The sequence below is a fragment of the Homo sapiens genome, chromosome 8 (genome assembly GCF_000001405.40).
Source record: "Homo sapiens chromosome 8, GRCh38.p14 Primary Assembly".
Taxonomy (NCBI): Eukaryota; Metazoa; Chordata; class Mammalia; order Primates; family Hominidae; genus Homo; species Homo sapiens.
In genome coordinates, this window is record NC_000008.11 from 118667746 (window position 1) to 118693124 (window position 25379).

The 25379-nt window shown below is 36.1% G+C and overlaps 1 long non-coding RNA gene across 1 annotated transcript in view; it reads left to right on the plus strand.

Annotated features, from left to right (window-relative positions):
- Positions 1-25379, plus strand: part of SAMD12-AS1 (SAMD12 antisense RNA 1) — a 105067-nt gene that overhangs the window by 46745 nt on the left and 32943 nt on the right. The window contains exon 3 of the long non-coding RNA NR_038210.1: positions 705-856. This is a non-coding gene — a long non-coding RNA (SAMD12 antisense RNA 1). The remainder of the gene's footprint in view (positions 1-704; positions 857-25379) is intronic.

Consider the following 25379-nt stretch of genomic DNA (forward strand, 5'->3'; position numbering starts at 1 on the left):
ACTTAATTATACAGCATTATCATTTCTATCCCTAATTCCTTAATCAAAACCATCATTAGCCATGCAAATAATAAAGGAAATTGGATTACAAAGGAAGTAAAGATTAGTGACTCTAAGATCAGATAGCTGATTTTAGAAAGTCAGGTTGAAATTGGGCTCAGTTTTATAATTCAGATAAACAAGGCAACTACCTTGTCATAAGCCTTTTCAGTTTTAAAGATAAAGCACTATTTTTGTTTGTTTGATGAGAATTTTACATTAAATCCATGAGTAGCAAAAGATTAAATAATTATGCATTTTAACAAGATGACCTATAACATATCAAATCACCTCAAATCATGAACACTGCTTTTTTTTTTTTGAGACAGTGTTTCACTCTGTTGCCCAGGCTGGAGTGCAATGGTGCGATCTCCGCTCACTGCAACCTCTGCCTCTGATTCTTCTGCCTCAACCTCCCGAGTAGATGGGGTTACAGGCATGCACCACCACACCCGGCTAATTTTTGTATTTTTAGTGGAGATGGGGTTTTGCCATGTTGGCCAGGCTGGTCTTGAATTCCTGATCTCAAGTGACGGCCCGCCTCGGCCTCCCAAAGTGCTGGGATTACAGGCGTGCGCCACCGTGCCCAGCCGAACACTGCTTTTTGAGGTGTCACTTGAGAAATTGGTTTTTGGTGGATTCAGTCAGTGCTTTGTCTTTTCTAGGTCCCAAGATTTTGACTGATTGGTTGTACGACTAGAGTTGCTGGAGTTCAAGTATTTTCATTTTAACTATTCAACTGAAAGCAGTGCGTTACAACAGAACACGGGTTCCAAAGAATTTACTGAGAAGAAGCAAAGTAATACTTGGGAGAACTGTAAGTAAAGTTAATTAAAGCTCCTACCAATGCGGATTGGCAAAATCTTTGGTGTCAGTGTCTACCTTTAAGATAGTCTTCCTTTGTACCCAGGAGGCTGGTTAGATTTACTGGGCCTATGTCTGCATAATGCAAAAAGCATCTCTGCTATTTAGATTTCTAGATTGTACATATTAGGTATATAAATATTAATAAAAATTTTCTGCCCTTAAATATTACATGTCACAGTTAATATTCTGCATTCTCTGTCTAGATATCTACTTTTCAATATTAGCTGCTAGAACTTTATTAATACATTTGAAGCTTGTTTTTTTCTCTATGTGTGAATTTTATCGGGAACACTATGTTCAAACAACTAAGGAAAAAATATTGGCCATTTATTTTTTGATGGAAGATAGGAATGTAGCGTGTGCTCTACAGTTTTAGCAATATATTATTGAGATAAATGCAGTCTTAGACACAAAGTGCTTCATTTTGTGTTAAACATAGCAGAGGAATGTTTTACTGTCTCATGGGAGCATCCAGGTTCCCCATAATTGAAGAGCTAGCACAAGATATCAAGGATCCTGAAAAAGAGCTTCCTGCCTTGGTGGGAGATTCGATGGCACTGGCTTGCAATTATACTGCCCATTGGAACCCCCTTGGGAGCTTAAAAAATACTGAGGTTTGTGTCCTAGCCTGAGGCATTCGATTTAATTGGTCTGAGGTATGGTTTGGGATTGGGATTTTAAAGGTTTGCAGGTAATTCTAATATGCAGCCACAGTTGAAGACAGCTGTTCTAAAATCTCATCTAAACCAAAATTAGCAATTTCTTCTAATATGCTTTGATGATTTTTAAAGCTATGTTCTCTAAAGAAACCCCTAGACCTGAAAATTACTCTATGCAAAGAGATTCTGTGGTCCAATAAACTTGAAAAGTGTGACATATCTTATCATCCTTTTGGAGAAATCTAATTCACCTGGACACATTAAAGATAATGATAGGCCCGGTATGGGATCTCACACCTGTAATTCCAGCATTTTGGGGAGGCTGAAGCAGGAGGGTTGCTTGATCCTGGGAGTTTGAGACCTGCCTGGGCAATGTAGCAAGACCTTGCCTTTATAAAAAATTAGAAAAAGAATATTAGCCGGGCGTGGTTGTGCAATCCTCTGGTCCCAGCTACTCAGGAGGCTGAGGTGGAAGGCTTGCTTGAACCCAGGAGGTTGAGGCTGCAGTAAGCCATGATCACACCACTGCACTCCAGCCTGAGTGACAGTGACACCCTGTCTCACACACACACATACAAAAGACAATGGTAAAAACATTTCTAACCCAGTATTTCCCAGAATTTTCAATCAGAGTTTTCATTTTTTATAACAGCTATTATAATAATCCCATAAAATTAGCATTCTTTGGCTCACACATTCGCTAGCAGATTTATATTTTGCTGAGTTACTTCTGATCTCTGTGTTTTAAGAATAAAATTCTGGCTGGGCACAGTGGCTTACGCCTGTAATCCCAACACTTTGGGAGGCCGAAGTGGGTGGATCACCTGAGGCCAGGGGTTCAAGACCAGTCTGGCCAACATGGTGAAAACACCATCTCTACTAAAAACACAAAAATTATCTAGGCGTGGTGGCGGTTGCCTGTAATCCCAGCTACTCGGGAGGCTGAGGCAGGAGAATCAATTGAATCTGGGAGGCGGAGGTTGCAGTGAGCTGAGATTGCACCCCTGGACTCCAGCCTGGGCAACAGAGCAAGACTCTGTCTCTAAATAAATAAACAAACAAACAAGTAAATAAAATTCCCACTTGCATTGCTTATCTATGACATTATACCACAAACATGGACTAAGCTGTTCTTGATCATATGGTCTTATATTGATAATATTTATATCTGTGTAGCTGTTGAGTAAAGCGTATGTTGACATGAACCCCACCGGAAATGAGGTTCTGCTCTGGGCTACTCCCTTTGGACCCAGTGTTTTTTAATGCAAAGGACTTGGCAGTAAGAACATCCATCTTTAGTGCCCAAATTGATAAAAAGCAGGGAAGGACTACCGATCTTGCTCAAAAGTTACCATTTACCAGTTACTTAAATCCCCTTTGAATTGACCCTCTTCTGCAGCTTAAATTATAAGCTCCCTGTCTTCAAATGTCTTAAAATCTCTAAAGCATCATGGGATGTGTTTCTTTGGAAAGAAAGCTGGAAGTTATGAGATGTGGAAAGAGTGTAGAATGGAGTGATTGAGGTTGTGAAGGTATAACCAAGAGAAAGGAGGTTCACTCACAAATGAGAGTTAGATTGAGCGATGGTAAATTAACCTTGAGGCTGGAGGAGGCAGTAGACATGCCATTTATCATTTCTCCTTGGTTAGAGATGAAGATGTGACAAGAATACACACCCAAAAGCAAAGCGACCCATGCTGTCTGTTCACTTCACATCTCAGGTGTTGTCTTACTCAATTTTTTGGCAGCATGACAACTTGGCCTCCTCCTCTCATTTTCTTCCCTTGGCTTCTGGAATCCTGGGCACTCCTTGTTTTCCTCTTATGGCTTTAACTGCTCCTTCTGATCTCTCCCAGGCTGGTGAAGTCACTCCTATCTTTGCTCCCATGATGACCTATGTCCACTTACTTCCTTTATGGTACTGGCTCCAACTACTCAAAGGTTTCTTTAGTTGTATCTTCACTGTATTATTTTTATATTAAATATATAAAATGATATTTTATATTAACTATATCTTTAATAAAAGTGGTATACTATTCATTTATGTCTCCCCAAATTAGACAGACACCTAATAGGGCATCAATAAGTGTTTACTCTTTTATTATTTTTATTACTTTAATTTTTTTTTTAGATATGGTCTCACTCTGTCACCTACACTGGAGTGCAGTGGGGTGATCAGGGCTCATTTCAGCCTCAACCTCCAGGGCTCCAGTGATCCTCCCACCTTAACCTCCCGAGTAGCTGGGACTATAGGTGTGTGCCACCACATCTGGCTAATTTTTGTATTTTGGGTAGAGATGGGGTTTCACTAGGTTGCCCAGGCTGGTCTCAAATCCCTGAGCTCAAGTGATCCTCCTGCCTTGGCCTCTCAAAGTGTTGGGATTACAGGTGTAAGCCACCATGTCCAGCCAACAAATGTTTGTTAAACTAAATTAATTGATTGATCCCATACACACTCAAGAGATCCAATAGAGAAATGAAGTAAAGGCCAGTGGGAAATGTCACCAAAAAGAATAGTGACTTACCTTTCTAATGTATGCAGTTGTCTTGCCACTTAAAAATATAGCTCTTTTTGATTACAGCACTGATACATATTTATTGTATTTAAGTAACTGGTATTGTAGAAGATCTGAAAAATAAAGAAACAAAGGACACAAAAGCAATGCACAAATCTACCACCCAAAGATCACCATTGTAAATAATTGTGTGTATTTTCTTCCAGGCCTTTTTCTAGGCCTAAGTCGGGGTATAGATATATGTAGGTATGCATGTGTGTTTGTGTGTGTGTGTATGTTGTGCATGTGTGTGTCCTTTTTTCAAGAGAATTTGGATCATAATGAAACAAACGATTTTGTACTCTTTTTGATTCAATATATTCTTATATTCTTTCACTTTGCAAATATTTGTTGAGGGCTTAACATAATGTACTAGGTACTATTTTAGGCTCTGGGAGTGCACCAGTCAACAGTATTTTGAATGTTTTTCTGAAAAACTTGATTTTAAATGACTTACTAATGTTTTACATTTTAGGTCAACTAAATTGGTTAATTTAACCAATTCCTGACTGTTGTTGTTACCATTTCACAGCACAATTAGTAATCTTGCAACAAGTAGCTTTATTCATAAATCTTTGTGTTTTTCTTTGATCATTCACTAGGATAGAATGGAAGTAAGTTCAAAGACTAGTTAACAAACTATAAAACATGAACTTTTAAAAAAAGTGTCCAGGGATACTTCAGTAAAAGGTTTTGGTAATTTATAAACCCCAATTTCCATCAGTGTATGAAGGAACCCATCTTACAACTCTCACCAGTGTAATTTGCATTTTCATTAAGAAATATATTTATCTGCCTATATATTGCCTCACGTTAGAATTATTTTATTCTAGTAGGTGTAACTTTCATATTCTTATATAAGTATTTAATCTTGTTTTTCCATTAATTTTTTATTGATTCTCATGGAATGTGGCTATTCAGGAAATATAAACTTAAACTTCCCTTTAATAGGAAACCCCTAAAATCCTATAGTAAGACTTTTTTTTTTTGGATCCAAGTTGTATTTTAGCTTACTAGCAGAGGTCCTGGGGTTTTCAAAATGGTTTCTTGCTCATTTTTTTCCTCGGTTAACATTCAGTTCAGGTGTGCATGTTTAGTAGGGGTACATACATTAAGCAAGGCAGATGTTCAGTGAAAGTCAAGTGTCCTTCAAAGAGTAATAGCAGCATCCCAGGGGTTCCCTTTGAGTGTGAAACCTTCTCTAAGACTAGCATAATCACCTGCTGGGGGAATCCTGGTGCGTCAGTCTCATCATGAGCTTACCCTAGATCAAGCTATCTGACTGTGGTATCCATTGTGGGTTACTGTCTCTGTTTGTAGACATATTGACAGAAAAGTTGCAGACGTCACAACAAAGAATATTTTCTATCTCAATCACTAATTAATAAAAGATTCACATGTCTGAAAGCAAATTATCAACTTATTGAAAGGAGGACACTTTAAGGCCTAGATGTGCTATTTGTGAAATATTTCTAAGTGTTACTACAAAGTAATCTAAATCGAGTGCTATTTAATTTAACAAAAGGAAAATAAAAAAGTAATTCTCTATTTTTCAGCTATGGGGGTCACAATGCTGAGGATGCAATAAAAAATTAAACGGAGTTCAGCTAGTCTCTAGAGCAAGGCCTCTTTGCTTTTGATACAAGAGGTGACCCTAGTAGATGACTCCTTGTTTGGGATGACTGTAAGTCTAGCTTTATAACTTCCTGTGTGCTCTTTGTTTTTCCCTAGTTTGCTGCTTTATGTCATATGAACACACACCCCTTGGAATTTATTTAACTTTTTTTTTCTGTTACTCTTACCATGCTTCCCAGAAGCCAAAGAGCAAATATGCGTAGAGTAAATCAAGGTTTCTCAGTCGTGGCATCACTGAATGGAAGTGCATTGAAGGACATTTGGCAGCATCTATGGGGTGTGCCCACTAGATGCCAGTAGCACCCCTCTTCCCTAGTTGGGACAACCAAAAATGGTCCTAGTAGTTGTCAGATGTCCTTTGGGAGGCAAAATCGCCCCTAATTGAGAACCCCTGGAGGAAATGTGGCTCAGTCTTCCTGTAGGATCCCCCACTTGACCTGTGGCAGGCCACATTCCATTGTCTACCCAATAGCCAGAGTAGTGTTTCCTAAGAATAAGGCCTTGCCACTTGCCTGCTTATAATAGTCCAATGTCTTCTTGTGGCGCTGGAGTAAAATCTGAACTCCTGTGGCAACCTATATAGCCCTCCATGATCTTACCCCAACCCACTCTGTCTCATCGGCTACCCCTCTTCTCTCCTTCACTCTTCTAAATTTGCTGTGATCAAAGCCACCCCTCAAAGAGGCCTTTCTTGCCACTTATTAATGCAGCTTCTCCCTTCTACTCACTTTATTATATCATATGGTTTGCCTTGTTTATCTGCATGTTTTACAACCTGAAATTACCTGGTACCTTTATTTGTCTACTGGTTTATTGTCTTTTCTCAAGCACAGCAGAATGTAAGCTTCTTGAGAGAAAAGAACATTTCTAGTTTGTTCACTACTCCTTGCCCAGTGTCTCAGATAAAGCGTAACACTTCATAGATGTTAAAAAAATACAATGAATAAATAAATAAATGGGTAAAATTAGGCAGAGGCAGTGACTCAGTATATATATATATACACACACACACACACACACATATACACACACACATACACTATATATACATATTCTTTTTCTGTATTCACACTTTAACAATTCAGTAATATTTTAGTCAAAAAAGGGCAGAGAACAAAGAAATACAACCTTGTGTGTCTACTATCCAGATAATGTGATCTTGAGTTGCAAAGAATGAAGGGTGCCATTATGTATTTGACAGAATCAGTGTTCATATGTATATAGTAGTTTACAAATAGATCAAGACTTTTTCCATCCACATAAATCAACATTTCTGTGCTAAGTAGTCACTAAGGGTGAAATGCTGAAAATAGCAAGATTCATTTCCTTCCATCAAGGGGCTCACAGTCCAGTGGGTGGGCCAGTGGCATGGAAGAGGAGATCATTAGAGATAGTCTGATGAGTGCTTCAATGTGAAATGAAGGATCAGGAGCTAGCAGTGTACCTGAGAAACCCTGGGATGGACAGATGCTGGAGTGTATGTGTTAAAAATCAAGGAACCCTGACTAGAGTGCTAAATCTTAAAGAGTCCTCTTATGTATTTTGGTACAGAAACACTCCACTTGGGTAGAAGGAGTGTGCTTATAAATCCCCACCTCACCAAATGAGAAGGAGCTGCTGGCAAGATCTGAGCTCAACACCTCAGGAGCCTCCAGATTTGGAAGGCTTTTGGTTTCCTCACTTCTTTTGCTTTCTATTTTTGCCTCGAAATATGTGCACTCCTAGAGTTCTCTATTTTCAAAAAGCCTTCTGAGCCAGTAAGGAAGAAAAGTTTGCTTTGGGGAACTTCCAAATATTTGTGAATTGCCGTTGACTACTTTTTCACTGCAACAGCAAGGCAAATCTGTACTATTAAGTAGTAATATAATGTATAAAGCATATCTTTTCATTTTTGAGCATGGCACTATGTCAGTGAGAGCAGTGATTTTCAGATATTTTCCATATTCCAAAAATGTGATGAGGGTCTTGAGGTATGGTTAAGTAATAGGAATACTGTAAGAGTATTAAAAATTATCTTTGGGAGGGCTTATAATCCTGTAAGTTTAGCACATTGTTCTTTAGTTGTGTAGTTGCTCAATGTAGTTTAATTGGTCAGGTTCTTCATGGAACAACAAACAGGACAGTGAAGACTCTTACAGTTATTGCTTTGCAGTATGGCACAATCATTCAAAAGATAAATATCTCTCAGATTAACTTAATATATGAGAGGAAATTCAAGCTCATCCTGATTTTTGGAGTGGGTAAGAAACTATGCATTCTTTCCCCAGTGACATTTTTCATGTGATTTCAAATATATCAAACTTATTCAGATATTCTTAATTTGGAAGGACAGGCACAGAGAATATATTTGAATATACTTGAGAATTTTCTGTTCCTCATTTGAAGTTAACTAGGTAACCATTCTGAAAATAAGATGCTCTCCTCTCCTCTTATTCTGCTTAGAATTTTAACCGTTCAAAGTGGAATGTGAGAGTGATGTAGCTCATTACTCCTTGGTTTTCTCTCCATCCCTCACTTTTTTCGTTTTTTGCTACTGATGTGTTTCCAATGATGTACTCAGCTGGTTTTTGCTTTTGTTGATAGCTGAGCTTATACGATATTTTCTTAAACTGCTTTTATGATACTATGCCTTCCCAACAGGCAAAATGGTCTCACATTCTCAGCAGGGCTGGGATAGGGAATCACCAATAAGGAACTTCTCTTCTTCCACAAGAATTGAAGACATCTAATTTCTCATCTGTTCTGTCCCTGTGGACACAAATGTCAAAATCGGTCTTGCTGGTGGCATTTGAAATGGTATATGCACAATTCAGGAAGCGTTACTGTTTACCCATTAATCACTCTGGGCCACCAGTCAAAATATTTTCTGTGCAAAAATGCCTTTCCCATTTTGTACCAGTTAATATTGGATGGAACTCAAGAGTCACAGTTAATCTGTGGCAAAGCTTTTATTTGCTGTCAGGCATTCAGACATGAAAAATGCTCAATGTAATATTTTAATTAATAAAAATATACTGAGAAGTGTATTTTTCTGAAGTAGATTTTTATTACACTTCATTACATTTCCAAATTTAATGGACACATATATTATGTCCTGTCACCATGGGAACCACATCAAGACAGGCTTTTTATAGGCTGTGGATGTAGTTATAAAACTCTCACAAAGACAAAATTGTTTCTTATAAGTTTAAAAGAAGCTGTGCTCATTTACAGTATGTATAATTTAGTGCAGAGCTTGAGGCAATAAGAGAGTCTTTATTTGATTTAGAGACTAACACTTCTTTTTATGAAGCTTTTAAGTGTTTATTATTTCAGGTCTGTGTTCATGAAGATATAACTTGGCTTATTGTGAAAGCAAATTTAAAAAATTCAAACTTTGTATAATAGACCAAACAGATGAAATTCTTTTTTGTAACTGTTTAAAAAGCAAAGCACTTTTAAAAACAAATTTTTCCAAGCATACATAAAAGAAGGAACTACAATGAACCCCAATACCCATCTTGAATAACCACCAATATTTTACTGTATTTATTTTATGTGTCCCCCTGCAAACACCACTTTTTACGGCTGAAATATTTTAAAGTAAATTATAGTAAAATGGTAAAATATCAGTTTACTATCAAATACTTTAGTATGCATCTTAAAAAAGAAGGAGGCAAGAACAAGGACCACATAGTGAACAACTTTCTATATTCAATAAAAAATATCATAAAGCATTATGACAGAACAGAGACCAAACACATAGATCATATCAGCAAATGCAAATAGGCTCACCTTACTTATTATAATGAAAAAAGAAAAGATTTTCAGAGTGCCCAAAGAAGAAAATCCTTGCTCTATGATATTTAAAAGGGACATACCTAAAATTAAGTGATTTTGAAGGTTAAAAATAAAAGAATAGGCAATTGCAAATTTTAAAAAAATCAGGGGTCTTCTTATAGAGGAGTATAAATTAAGGCCAAAAATATTAAAATAGATAAAGAAGGATATTTTATAATACTACAGGCAGAAATTCACAAAGAAGATTCAAAAGTTATCTTTTCTTCCAGTAACACAGAAACGACTTTCAAAAAGCAGAAACTGCTAGGTATGACAAATAGAGACACACTAATAGTAGGAGATTTTAACACACTTCTCTCAGTTCTAGGAAAGCCAAAGGATAAAATGCTAGTAAGGATGGAGAAGACTCAACATAATCAATAAGTTAAAGCTAATATCTATAAAACTGGAACAGTAATAATAGAGACTATGCCTTCCTTTTATGTAAGAGTCTTTGAAACTGAAATTAGTGAAAGCTGATGGAGGGGAAAAAATCATAGAGTTTGAACCCTGGTTTAACATTTCATAGCACTTTCAAAGTTATAAAATGTATTCACATTTTCAGTTCAAAGTTATTTATGTATTTTCCACATTCCATTCACGTGGCCTGCTCCATCCTGAACAGGGATCTATTCTGGCTACTTATGATTTTCCACATTAAAGGTAAGCATTGGTGCTGATTTTTAGATCAGATGGAGCTTGGAATATTTTTCCTCAAAGTTTTCCAACTTTAATTTCCAAGGAACTATCCAGTTTAGCCTCATATGAGCTTTCTGCCTCTTTTAAATTCCAGGAGAGAAATGTGAGATTTCACAAACAGAGAGATTGCTTTTCCATCAGTCACAGCCCATGCCTGACATGTGCAAGGGGCTTCGTAAACAGATGGGTAACATGCAGGTCTTTTTATTTAATTTATTTTATTTTATTTTAACAAAATGCAAGATTAACCTGTTTCTTAGCAACATTACTTCCCTTCTTTATTCAAAGATTCTTCCTCCCTCTAAAAGAATTGACATTTATGATGGAGTTTTCGAGTTTAATTTTCCTACAAATGCAACTTTTGTCGAAATGTGCAACATTTAGTTTTTGGGTCTGTGAGGTATGGCATATTTTTTCCTCCCAGTTTTCATAAATGAATATTAGTGAGTGATAGGGAGCATAGATTACATCACAACAGCCACTATTGATGGTAATGGGATTCGAATTGGAGACTAGCCATCAATGGCACAAAGCTGCTATGGGAAATGCATAGAAATGGAAAGCCACTTTACTTAAGTGACTGGCTGCTCTGCTAGCTTAGCATTTATTTATTTGTTCGCTCTTGTGTTTTTTTAAAAGTATTTGTTGTTGGATTTTTTTTTTGTCTTAATACCTTGGGGTTCGGATACCTTCCTGTTGCAAGGGAAATTTGCTAATATAACAAAGTAGTTGCGAATATGGAGTGTTGGAGGCAGATTGCTCTGGGAATTAGAACCACTTACTAGCAATGTGACCACAGCAATTGACTTCAATTCTATGAGCTTCATAGTTACCTCTTGTAACATGGGAAACATAATAATAGTACTCACCTAATGGAGTTGTTGTAAAGATTCCATCAAGTTTTTGTGAAACACTTAGCACAGTGCCTACATACATACATAAAGCATTTTATTGATGCCATAAGGTATACTAACAATTAGTATGTTAGAATAATAATTAGTATTTAATGTTAAGTTAATTGAAGAGACTGAGAAACTCAAGTTGCTAAAAGTAAAAAGGAGACTTTTAAAAATATTTTATTTTTAATTGTGGAGGAAAACAACAGAAAATTCACCATCTCAACTATTTTTCAGTGTGTAAATCAGTAACCATATCCACATTGTTGTAAAACAGGATTCTAAAACTCTTCATCTTACAAAACAAAAACTCCATATCCATTCAACAAGCCTTCGAGAAAAACTTTTTAAAGAACAGTTTTAAATTTACAGGAAAATTGCGAAGAAGGTACAGAGAATTCCCATGTATCCCACACCCAGGTCCTCTATTATTAGCATCTAACATTAGTATGGTACATTTGCTGCAACTAATAATATCAACATATTATTGTTTACTGAAGTCCATACTTTATTTAGATTTCCTTAGCTTTTACCGAATGTTCTTTTTTCTATTCCAAGATCTGTTCAGGGTTCAGCACTACATTTAGTTGACATGACTCTTCAGGTTCCTCTTGGCTGACAAATTTTTGGACTCCTTGATTTTGATGGCCTTGACAGTTTTGAGAAGTACTGGTCAGGTATTTGGTAGAATGTCTTCATTTGGGATTTATCTGATGTTTTCTCATGATTGGACTTGGGTTAGAGTACATGCTATCAATCTGACATTGTTACTGATATTGACCTTGATTACGTGGCTCAGGTAGTGTTTGTCAGTTTCCTCCATTATAAAGTTACAAATGTTTTAATTTGAAATTCCCTAACAAAATGATGTTAAGAACCTTTTCACAGGGTTACCTGTCTTCTGTATATCTTCATTGGTGAGATATCTGCTCTTGCCCATTTTAAAAAATTGGGTTGTTTCCTTATTGTTGAATTTTAAGATTTCTTTGTATATTTTGGATATAAGTTCCTTGTCAGATACGTATTTTACAAATATTTCCTTCCAATCTGCAGCTTGCCTATTCATTCTCTTAACTGTGTCTTCCAGAGAGCACATGCTTTTATGTTTAATAAAGTACAACTTATCAAATTTTTAATGGATTATGCTTTGGGTATTGCATCTAAAAACTCACCACCAAACACAAGTTCATATAGATTTTCTGCTTTTCTCTTTTCTAGGAATTTTATGGTTTTGCATTTTACATGTAACATGTAAATCCATTTTGAATTGGTGTCTAGGTGTTTTATGTTATGTTTCTCTCTTTTTTTTTTTTTTTTGGCCTATGGCCATCCAATTTCTCCAGCACCATTTGTTGGACAGATGATCCTTTTCTCCACTGCATTGCCTTTGCTCCTTTTACAAATAGCAGTTGACTATATTTGTGTGAGTCTCTTTCTGAGCTGTTTCGTTCCAGTAACTTATGTCTATTGTTTAGTCAATACCTCATTGTCTTGATTACTGTAGTTTTATGGTAAGACTTGAAATCAGCAAGGGTGCATCCTTCACTGTTGTTCTTCAATATTGTGTTGGCTATTCTAAGTCTTTCACATTTCCATATAAACTTTAAATCATTTTGTTAACACCTGTAAAATAAGTTGCTTGGATTTTATTAGGGTTTTCATGAAATCTATAGATTGATTTATGAGGTATTATCATCTAAACAATATTAAGTTTTCCACTCTATGAACATGGAAAATATTTATTTAGATTTTCTTTAATCAGTATTTAAAAATTCCGTATAATTCTGTTTACAAGTAAAATTATAACACTCGTGGAGAAAAGAGAGGATGTGTGGAAAAGAGAACTCTTGTGCACTGTTAGTGAAAATGAAAATGTAAATTATTATAACCATTATGGGAAATAGTATGGAATTTTCTCAAGTTAAAAAGTGCTACTACATGATCCATCAGTCTCACTACTGAGTATGTATATAGCCAAAGGAAATGAAATCAGTGTATCAAAGAGATGTCTTCACTCCTGTATTAATTGCAGCACTATTTCTAATAGCAGAGATATGAAATCAACTTAGGTGTTCATCAACAAAGGATACATAAAGAAAATGTTGCATATATCCACTATGGAATACTATTCAACCTTAAAAGAGAATAAAATCCTGTCATTTGTGACAACATGGATTCACCTAAAGAACATTACATTAAGTGAAATGAGCCAGGCACAGAAAGACAAATACTGCATGATCTCACTTATATGTAGAATCCCAAAAAGTCAAATTAATGGAAGCATAGACTAGAATGGTGGTTATCTGGGGCTGGTGTGGGGAACCAGTGTAGTTGCAAAGATGTTGGTCAAGGAGTACAATATGTCAGTTAGACAGGAGGAATAATTTCAAGAGATCTATAGTACAACATGGTGACTATGGATAACAATGTATTATATACTTGAAAATTGCAAAGAGAGTAGATTTTAAGTGTTCTCACCATAAAAATGATAAATATGTGAGGTAATATGTTAATTAGCTTGATTCAGGCATTTCACAATATATACATATTTCAAAATGTTATGTTGTACACCAAAATATACATAATTTTTATTTGTCAATTTAAAAATAAAAAGAAAATGATCTATCTTAAGATAAAAAATACATTTTTAAAAATAATTTATTGACTAGTAAAATGATAAATATATTTAAACAACAAAATGCATTCAGTGATTTATATGCCATGATAGAAACATACACTGGGTTCAATGGGGCACAAAAGCAGGAGTGGTCAATTCTACAGAATGGCCTGAAATTTCATGCAAGTGTTTCATAGAGAGGATGACACTTGGAAGTGTGAACAAAGAGAAAGGAAGCAGAGAAACTAAATTGGTGAGTACCGAAGAATGAAAGAGTATAGCAGATTTATATTCTTTCAAAAAACAAAAAAAAATTATAATTTTCCACATATAGACCCTGTGCATGTGTTAAATTTAAACCTACGTACAGTTCACTCTTGAACAACACGAGTTTGAACTGCACAGGTCCACTTATATTCAGTTTTCCCAACCAGACGCAGATCAGTATTCATGAGGAATGAAACTTGTGTATGTAAAGGGCTGAATTTTTGCATTACCAGGTTCCACAGGGAAAATGGCAAGACTTGAGTATGCATGGATTTTGGTATCCATGGTGATCCTGGAACCAATCCCTCTGCATACACCAATGGACACAGCTGTATTTCATTTTTTTGGTGCCATTGTAAATAATGTGTACTTTTTAAAAGTTCCAATTCCAATTGGTCACTGCTGATACATAGGGAAGCAATTAGCTTTTGTGTATTAATCCTGTTTCTTGTGACCTTGCTAAACTTGCTTATTAGTCTGAGGAGTCCTTTTGTGTATTCTTTGGATTTCTCTACACAGACAATCACGTCATCTGAGAATAAGGGCAGGTTTATTTCCTCCTTTAAAATCTGTATACTATTTGTCTTCTTTTCTTGTCTTATTGCACTAGCTAGGACTTCCAGTGTTACATATAGTAGGATAGGGAAGAGAGGATATCATTGCTTTGTTCCCCTTCTTAGGGGGAAAATACTCACCATTAAGTATGATATTAGCTATAGGTTTTTAATAATTTTTTTTTAAATCAAGATAAGAAAGTTTCTCTTATTCTTAGCTTGCTGAGGGATCTTATCATGAATGGGTGTTGGGCTTCACCAAATTATTTGTCTCATATATTGATATATCATATTATTTTTCTATTTTTGTCCATTGTGGCAGATTACAGCAATTGATTTTTGAATGTTGAACCAGCCTTGCATATTTACACTTGGTTGTGGTGTACTTCTTTTTGTATATCACTAGATTTTCTTTGCTGATATTCTGTTGAGGATTTTTGTATCTATTCATGAGAGATATTGGTTTTCAGATTTCCTTTCTTGTAAAGCTTTTAGCTGGTTTTGTATTGCAGTAGTGCTACCCACCTCATAGAATAAGTTGGGAAGTGTTCTATCCATGTCGATGTTCTGAAAGATATTGTGGAGAACTGGTATCACATATTGATTAAATGTTTGATAGAATTCATAAGCGAAAACATCTGGGCTTGGTGTTTTCCTTTTTTTTTCTGTTTTGGAAGGTTATTGATGATTGATTCAATTTATTTAATACATAGAGGCCTGTTCAGATTGTCTGTTTAATTTGTGTGAGTTTTAATAGTTTGTATTTTTCAAGGAATAGTTACATTTCATCTAAGTTATCAAATTTGTGAACATAAAGTTGATCATATTATTTCTTTATTTTCCTTTTAATATCCATGGTATCAGTAGTGATGTCTTTCTTTCATCTCTAATATTGATAAATTTGTATCTTTCCTCCTTTTTTCTGATTAAGGCTAGAAGCTTATTCATTATATTGATCTCATAGAACTACCTTTAGGTTTTACTGATGTTCTCTACTGTTTTCCCGTTTTCAGTTTCATTGATCCTACTTTTTATTATTTCTTTTCTGTTTGCTTTGGGCTTATATTCTTCCTTCTCTAGTTTTCTAGGCTGGAAGCTTAGACTATTAATTTTAGATCTTTATTTCATTCTAATATATGCATTGGATGTTATAAATTTCCCTTTAGGCTCTGCTTTCACTGAATCCCAGTTTTTGATGAGTTGTGTTTTCATTTTCTTTTAGTTTCAAATATTTTTATATTTCTCTTTTTACTTATTCTTTAGCCCTTGGGTCATTTGGAATTGTGTTGTTTAACACCCAGATATTTGGGTGATTTTTCAGCTTTCTATTATTGATTTCTAGTTTAATTCTATTGGGGGATGTTCTTACATATCTTGTGTAATTTTTATTTTTAAAAAATTTGTTAAGGCATATTTTATGCCTAGAATGTAGTATATCTTGTAAATATGAGATTTTTTAAAGTGATTTTATTAACGCTTATTAATTTTATCTCTCTTTAGAAAAATGCACTTACAGAACACTATTACTATTGAAAAACATGTAAAAAGTGTCTTTCATTATTTTCTCTATTTGGCCCTCTGGCCAGTGTCTTTTTGTAACCATTGTTGTTCCTCAACTGGCGCAATTCGTTTTGTGACATGAGTTTTGGCAGTGGTAACAATAATTTTAGTAGAGGAAACAGCATTTATTGAGCAACTACTATGTTCCAACTATTATGCTTTACCTATAAAATTTCAGTTCTCATAGCAACCCTCTAGGATGGATGCTATTAGCACCTTCATGTTGCAGTTGAGGAATTTGAAGCGTAGAAAATCACATAACTTGCCTGTTCACCTATGAGACATGAGCCAGAGGAAGAACATGAACCTTCACCAGCCTGACACCTGGAAGCACTTACTTCACTGTTGTCCTGGCACTTTTTTCTTTTGGCATTATTGCTGCTTAATATATTGTATTAATGATTGTTAAATTCTGTTTCTTTAACATTTTTTAAAACTTCCTTTGTTAATTTATGGAATACTATTTGATTACTTAATAACTGTCAGGATCTAGAGCTAAAATAATGAGCAATCAAGATATGATCCAGCTATGAAGAGGCTTACAGTACAATAAGGCAACAAATATCCACCAAAACACATAAAACTAAGTGTGAAATTATGTAATGTTGCAAGAGTGTATGCTACTGGTTAAACTTGAGGTGGTATAAACTGGAAGTGATCAATCTTTTTCATTTTTGCCTTTAAACCCACTTTGGTAAATTGCCTTTCTTACCCAAATAAGGAATCTTTGGCATGTCCCATGTGTCTTTAATTGAAATTTTTATTGAGATAATATTAGAATTATGTATAGTTTAAAGAAAAAATACAGAGAGAGCCCATGTACTCCTTACCCATTTTACCCCAATGGGAACATTTGACAAAACTACAAAGCATTATCACAACTAGGATATTGACATTGATAAAATCCACTAATTCTATTCATATTTCTCCAGTTTTACTTATGTTCATTTGTGTGTCCATGTGTACATATTCGTGTATTTAGTTCCACGTAATTTTATCATATGTATAGGTTCATGTATATACCACCATAGTCAAGATACTGAACAGTTTAATCATCACAAGAATTTTTTTTGTGTCACTCATTTATAACAACATATACCTCCCTCCCTGTTTCTCACCTCCATCCCTAACCCCTTGAAACCACTCACCTGTTCTTCATTTCTAGAAATTTTGTCATTTCGAAAATATTATATAAATGGAATAATACAATATGTAATCTTTTGGGATTGGCTTTTTCACTCAGCATAATTCTAAGGAAATTTATCCAAGTTGATTCTTTTCAATAGATTGTTCCTTTTTATTGCTGAGTAGTATTCATGCTACCTCTAAACTCGGTAGCCCCAGAAGATGGGCTCTTTCCTGTTCAGTGTCCTAGAGCCAATACATGAAACTGAAAGTGAGGATCACGTAGAGAGCAAGCTTTATTCCATGGCCAAGGGAGTGGAGAAACAGGAGTGTGGCTCAAAAATCACCTTCCGGACTAGTGAGGGGAGACAGGGATAAAATACAGGATTTCTCTAATGAAGGGATTGGACGTTAAAAGTCAGGGTAGGAATATTCAGTATTTTCTGAAAATGAGCAGTGAACTTCTCTGGAACCAGAGTGTCACCTTCCTTTTTGCCCTTTTATTGCTTCTTTTAGGATTGTTGTCATGGCAGTTATCAACTGTTATGGCATTGCTGGAGTGTCATTTAGAATGGAAATGAGGTAATAATGAAGCCTATAGTCTTTTTGAAGTTGTTGGTCAGCTATCTGGGTATCTTGATTTTAACCAGTCTTAGCTGGTCTGGTTACAAATGGAACATTTTTCCAATTTTTCTTAAAGATAAGCAGAGTTAGGGCAGGGTAGAAATTCAGCGATGTTATGTAGGCATTACACTGAGTAACATTCATAGTTCAGATATACCACAGATTGCTTCACCATTCACCTATGGAAGACATCAAGACCATTTCTAGTTTTTTTTCCCATTACAAGTTAAAGTGTAATAAACATTTGTGTACTAGTTTTGTGTGAACACAATTTTTATTTATCTGGGTAAATATCTAAGAGTGCAGTTGCCGACTGGTATGGTAAATGCATATTTAGTTTTTTAAGAAACTGCAATAGTATCTAGAGTAGCTGTACCATTTTACATTCTTACCAGCAAAGGATAAGTAATTTTGTTTCTTCTCATTCTTGTTAGCAATTAGTGCTGTCACTATTTTTAATTTTAGCTAACAGATAAGTATGCAGTGATATCTCTTTGTGATATTGATTTGCATTTTTTCTGGTGTCTAATAATGTTGAATGTCTTTCATATGCTTATTTTTCCATCTATATCTTCGTCCTTGATATACGTATTTAGGTAATTTGCTGATTTTCTAATTAGATAGTTTGGTTTGTAACTGTTAAGTTTTGAGAGTTTGTATGTTCTAGATACCAGTCCTTTGTTGAATATGTGGTTTGCAAACATTTTCTCCCAGTCTGTAGCTTTTCTTTTCAGCCTCTTCATGTGGGCTTTCTCAGAGGAAAACTTTTTCAATTTTGGTGAGTTCCAATATTTTTAGATTTTGATGAGGTCCAATTCATAAATAATTATTATTCTCCTCCTCTACCTCCTCCTCCTTCTTCTTTTTCATCATCATCATCATCATCATCATCATCATCATCATCAGAGATAGAATATCACTCTGTTGCTCACACTGTAGTGTAGTGGCATGATCATAGCTTACTGCAACTTCAAACTCCTGGTCTCACGTGATCCTTCCACCTCAGCCTCCCGAGGCGCATGGATTACAGTTGCATTCCACCAGCTAATTTTTTTTGTTTTTAAAATTTTTTGTAGAGACAGAGTCTCACTGTTTCTCAGGCTATTCTCAAACTCCTGGCCTCAAGCAATTCTCCTGCCTTTACCTCTCAAAGTGCTGGGATTATAGGTGTGAGCAAGCGAGCCACTGTACCCAGCTGTTTTGTGTGTGTGTGTGTGTGTGTGTGTGTGTGTGTGTGTGTGTGTGTGTGCTTTTGTTGTCCAATCTAAGAATTCTTTCCCAGCGCTAGAAGGTTTTGTATCCGCAATGTCCTCCTAAAAAGTTTTTAAGTCAATGATCCATTTTGAGCTTATTTTTGTATAAGATGTGAGGGTTAGGTTGAAGTCTGTTTTTATGAACGTCCAATTACTCCAACACCATTTATTGAGAAAGGATTATCTTTCCTCTATTGTATTTCTTTTGCATCTTTGTCAAAAATCAGCTAAGCATATTTATGTAGTCTATTTCTGAAATCCCTGTTCTATTTCATTGTTCAATGAGTCTTTCTGTCTGCTGGTGCCACACTGTCTGGATTACTGTAGCTTATAATAAGTCTTATCAGGTAGGGCAATTCCTCCAACTTTATTCTTCTTTGTCAAGATTGTTTTAGCTGTTCTATGACATATGCCTTGCCATGTAAAGTTTAGAATAAAATTGCATATGTCTACATAGATATAGATATATGTCTACATAGATATTGTCTAAAAAACCTGCTGAGATTTTGATAGGCATTATACTAAACTTATAGATCAATATGGGGAGAAATGATATCTTTACTATGTTGAGTCTTCCAATCCATAAACACAGTATGTCTCCTCATTTATTTAGATTATTGATTTATTTAATCAGAATTTTGTATTAAATACATTTTAGCTTTCAGATTCTGCACATCTTTTGTTAAGTATATCCCTAAGAATTTAATTTTCATTAGAGCATTTGTAAATCTTATGGTTTTTAAGTTTTTCCACATTTTCATTGTTACTATATTGAAATACAAATGATCTCTGTATAATCTTGTCTCTTGCAACTTTGCTAAACTCACCTAGTTCTAAGAGACTTTTTGTAGATTTCTCAAAATTTTCTGCACAGACAGTCATGTCATATGCAAATAGGGATGCTTTATTTCTTCCTTTCTTATCTATTTGATCTTGCCTTATATTTTTTTTCCTTATTGCTCAAAACTTTTTGTATAACGTCTAGGCATTTTTAAAAGTCTGTTTTCAGGTATTAAGAAGTCTATACTAATCTCAATAAAAACTTTACCCTCTTCAGTTAAGAGTTTTTTTCTCTTTATCCAGCTTGGACCAGACCTGTGACTCCCCAGACCAGCAGTGGGGAAGGGATGTGCTCTTTCATTCTCCTTGCTCCCCTCTCTCCTCTCCTCTATCTTGTCCTTGGCAGCATGCTTCTTTTAATTCCTTCCCTCTCTGTAGACTGCTCTATAACATCTTCTTCCTGGTAGACTTCCTCTTGTAACCCCATGGTTCAGTAGGTAGCCCTGTGGAGCAAGTTATTTTAATAACATTCTTGCCTGCCCAACTTCAACCACGTCCACTTCACCCTTGAAACGATATTACGCATCCTTGTCCTTCCAAATGTTAGGCATTCAAGCCTCTCCTGTTGCTATCTTCTCTTATCATTTTGTTCTGGGGAAAGCTTCAGCTAACTTCTCATTCAGGCTTTTCCAGAAGAATCAGGCTCAGATCTTTGACTTTCTTTCTTTGACTTCAGAAAACACATGTAAGGCTTATGCAAGAACACATGGGCTCCATTAAGCAGCAGCATGGGGCAAGTTCTACTTTCTACTGCCAAGTAAGCAACTAACGAGGGAGCTGGCTGGTGATTTCCTCTATTTAAACAATCCCAATTTCTGTGAAAGTTTTTCTTGGGGACCTTTCACCTGGCCAGAGACAGAGAGCAAAGAAAAGGACAGAACATGAAAAACATCCCGCATTCTCTACAGCTCATCAGCAAATTCCTGTCAAATAAATATTTGTCTTCTTTTAGATGAAGACCATGGCTTTATTTATATAGGCAGGAGTTGGATGAGCCAATTTTGATTATTCTAAGCAAGTCCTTAGGTTATATGCCCAGCACTTTGCTTTACAATATATAGGACATTCATCATCTATTGTGTTAAACTTCAGGTCCTCATTTGAAAATTGAAAACGTGAGGAAATTTCTATTTATCATCCTATTGCACTGTGATTGATGTTATAAGCTAAAGGTACACTGTGAGAGGTGGGTGGGTGCCTTATGCTTACGGGGAAAAGGCTCTGGAAGGCTTTCTAAGGAAGTGATACTTGAGATCTTCAGGATGAATAAGTACTAACTTGACAAGGAGGGCAAAGGAACACTCTATAAAGAAGGGATGTGTGGCCAGGAACATGATACTTTCAAAAAATGGAAACAAAGCCAGAGTAACCAGAATTCAGAAAGTGGCCAAGGTGGGAGGATCACAGGGTCAGGAGATTGAGACCAACCTGGCTAACACGGTGAAATCCCACCTCTACTAAAAACACAAAAAATTAGCCGGGCACGGTGGCGGGCACCAGTAGTCCCAGCTACTCGGGAGGCTGAGGCAGGAGAATGGTGTGAATCCCGGGGGCGGAGATTGCAGTGAGCCGAGATCGCGCCACTGCACTCCAGCCTGGGCGACAAAGAGAGACTCTGTCTCAAAACAAAAACAAAAACAAAAACAAAAACAAAAACAAATTGTGAAGGGTGTGAGATTTTATCCTATTTTCAAACAAACAGGCTAGCCTGTTACCATTTTATAGTGGCTGGCAGACAACATGAGACTCCAGGGTCAGAGAAAAAGACTATTACTCATGGCACAGCAAGTAGCAGGAGCTGCATGTTTGCATCAACCACCCCTCCACTCCCACTCAAAGTCCCACAGAGGTAAAATGAAGGGGTGCCAGTGGAGCTACACATGCAGTGAGTTTGTGTCACCCTTAAGGAGTCCTGAGCTTTCTGAACTTCAATCTTTTAAAATGGATAGTAAGCCTTCCTGACTTACTGGAGGGAAATACCGTCTTTATTACACTGGACCGTAATCAAACCTGCCTTCTGCTCCAGAGGCAAACACTGTCTCTAACTTCCAGGACAACTCCCTGTACTCTTGAAAAGATAATCTGGAACAAAATGGCAGTTATTGCATCTTTTTCTAAGAAGTGCGGCAATGTGAGATATACACGGATAATTGTCTCCCAACAGGATGCAGCGAGATGAAACTGGAGAGTTAAGATGTGGGCAAGACGGCCAGGCAGGTCTTGTAGGCCACAATAGGAATTTCCCCCTTTTGTCCTATGCACAACAGAGCACTGATAATGCTTTAAGCTGTGGTTGCATAGCAAGCATTGGGTGTATGGTCAATCTAACACTAAGATAAGACACACTCAGCTGCTCTGAATCTTGGTGTGCACTCTGCTTCTGTGTCTTTGCATGTGAGGTTCCCTTTGCCTAAGACTTCCTTTCCCCTGATTGTCTCTCCTAAATCCCAGATGGTCTCCTGGTTTCCTTGACACAGTTCAAGCCTCCCTCTCAGCTACTTTGCTTATCCAAGTCCCTGGTCTCTCCCACCCTCTGTGTCAGATTAGGTGACCTAGTTTTTAGCCATCTTATCAAATCCTGCTGTTTGCTCATTGCTTTTATGTGGCTCTGTGAACAAAAGTTGCCCCCAGTTCAGACCCTGGGATATTGCCAGATAAAGTATGTTCCTCACCTGGTAGGTGAGAGAGGATCAATAACCTCTAGGCTCATTTTCATTTGATTTGTGTGAGCAGAGTGCTTACCTTAATTGTGACACAAAGTATCTTTTTGGAAGCTTTCTGACAACTTTTTCCACTGAAAATGATAATTTTTACGTGGGAGGGAGGGAAGGGTATAGAATAAAAGAGGGGATAATTCAAGGGTTAAATTCTTAGACTCTGGCTTTTAATTTTATTTGTATTTTAATATATTTAGGAGTACAAGTGCTTTTTGGTTACATGAATGAATTGCATAGTGGTAAAGTCTGAGCTTTTAGTGTACGCATCACCCAAATAGTATACATTGTACCCAACAGGTAATTTTTTATCCCTCGCCCTTTTTCCACCCTCCCCACTTCTGAGACTCCAATATCCATTATACCACTCTGCATGCTTCTGTGTGCCCACAGCTTAGCTCCCGCTTATAAGTGAGAACATATAGTATTTGGTTTTCCATTCCTGAGTAACTTCAAAGATAATGGCTTCCAGTTTCATCCAAGTGGCTGCAAAAGACATTATTTTTCTTTTTTATGGTTGAGCAATATTTCATGGTATGTTTATATCACATTTTCTTTATCCTGTCATTGGCTGATGTGCACTTAGGCTGATCGTATATCTCTGCAGTTGTGACTTGTGCTGAGATAAACACACAAGTGCAGGTATCTTTATACAACGACTTCTTTTCTGTTGGGTGAATATTCAGTAGTAGGATTGCTGGATTGAATGGTAGGTTTACTTTTAGTTCTTTGAGAAATCTCCATACTCTTTTCCAGAGAGGTTGTATAGATTTACATTCCCACCAACAGTGTATAAGCATTCCATTTCCACTGCATTCATGCAAGTATCTATTATTTTTTGACTTTTTAATAATGGCCATTCTGTCTGGGGTAAGATGTCATCTCATTGTGGTTTTAATTTGCATTTCCCTGGTGATTAGTTATATTGACCATTTTTTTATATGTTTGCTGGCCATTTATATATTTACTTTAAAAAATGTTGATGGTATTTGTCCCTTGTTTATAGGATTATTTGTTCTTTCTTGATGATTTGTTTGAGTTCCTTGTAGATTTGAGATATTAGTCTTCTGTCAGATGTATAGTTTGTTAATATATTCTCAAATTCTGTAGGTAGTCTATTTACTGTTGATTATGTCTTTTATTGTGCACAGGCTTTTCAGTTTAATTCAGTCCCTTTTATTTACTTATTTATTTATTTTTTGCATTTGCTTTTGGGGTCTTAGTCATAAAATCTTTGCTTAGACCAATATTTAGAAGAGTTTTTTCTAGGTTTTCTCCTAACATTTTTATGGTTTTAGGTCTAATGTTTTTAATCCATCTTAAGTTAATTTTTGCATAGGGTGAGAGATACGGGTCTAGTTTCATTCTTCTGCATATGACTATCCAATTGTCTCAGCACCATTTATTGAGTAGGGCGTCCTTTTCCCATGTATGTTTATGTCTGCTTTGTTGACGATCAGCTGGTCATAGGTAGATAGTTTTATTTCTGGGTTCTCTATTCTGTTCCATTGTCTTATGTGTCTACTTTTATACCAGTACCATGCTGTTTTGGATACTATAGGCTTGTGCTATAATTTGAAATCTGGTAATGTGATGCCTCCAGATTTGTTCTTTTTGCTTAGGATTGCTTTGGTTATTTGGGCTCTTTTCTGTTTCCATATAAAGTTTAGGATTGGTTTTTGTTCTAATTCTGTGAAAAATGACATTGGTATTTTTATAAGAATTGCATTGAATCTGTAGATTGATTTGGGCAGTATGATCACTTTCATAATATTGAGTCTTGTAATCTATGAGAATGGAATGTTTTTCCATTTGATTATGTTATCTATAATTTCTTTCATCAGAGTTTTGTGGTTCTCCTTGTAGAGATCTTTCACGTCCTTGGTTAAATGTTTTCCTATTTTATTTTATTTTTACAGCTATTGTCCATGAGATACAGTTCTTGATTTGATTCTCAACTTGGATGTTATTGATATGTAATAGTGCCCCTAATTTGTGTACACTGATTTTGCCACCTGGGACTTTACTGATTTTATTTATCAAATCTAGGTGTCTTCTGGAGGAGACTTTAGGGTTTTCTAGGTAGAAGATAATATTATCAGCAGAGATAGCTTGGCCTCCTCTTTTCTGATTTGGATGTCCTTAATTTCTTTCTCTTGCCTGATTGCTCTGGCTAGGAATTTCAGTACTATGTTGAATAGAAGTGGTGAAAATAGGCAACCTTGTCTTGTTCCAGTTCTGAGAGGAAATGCTTTCAACTTTTCCACAATCAATATGATGTTGACAGTGGGTTTACATTCAAAGTTAGTAATGATATGTGTGATACTGTTCCAGTCACCATGTTGATTGTTACCTGGTTGCTTTGTATTCTCCATTGCATTGTTTTATAAGCCCTGGGAGTTTTCCACTTTTGACTGTTTTTATACTGTTGCATATTGACCTTACATTTTAATGTTTAGAACTCCTTTGAGCATTTCTTGTAGGATCATTCGGTCTAGTGGTGACAAATACCCTCAGTTTTTGCTTGTCTTAGAAAAACATTATTTCTCCTTCATTTATGAAACTTAGTTTTTGGAATACAAAATTCTTGGCTGACAGTTATTCCGTTTAAGGAAACTAAAGGTAGGACCCCAATTCATTCTGGTTTATAAGGTTT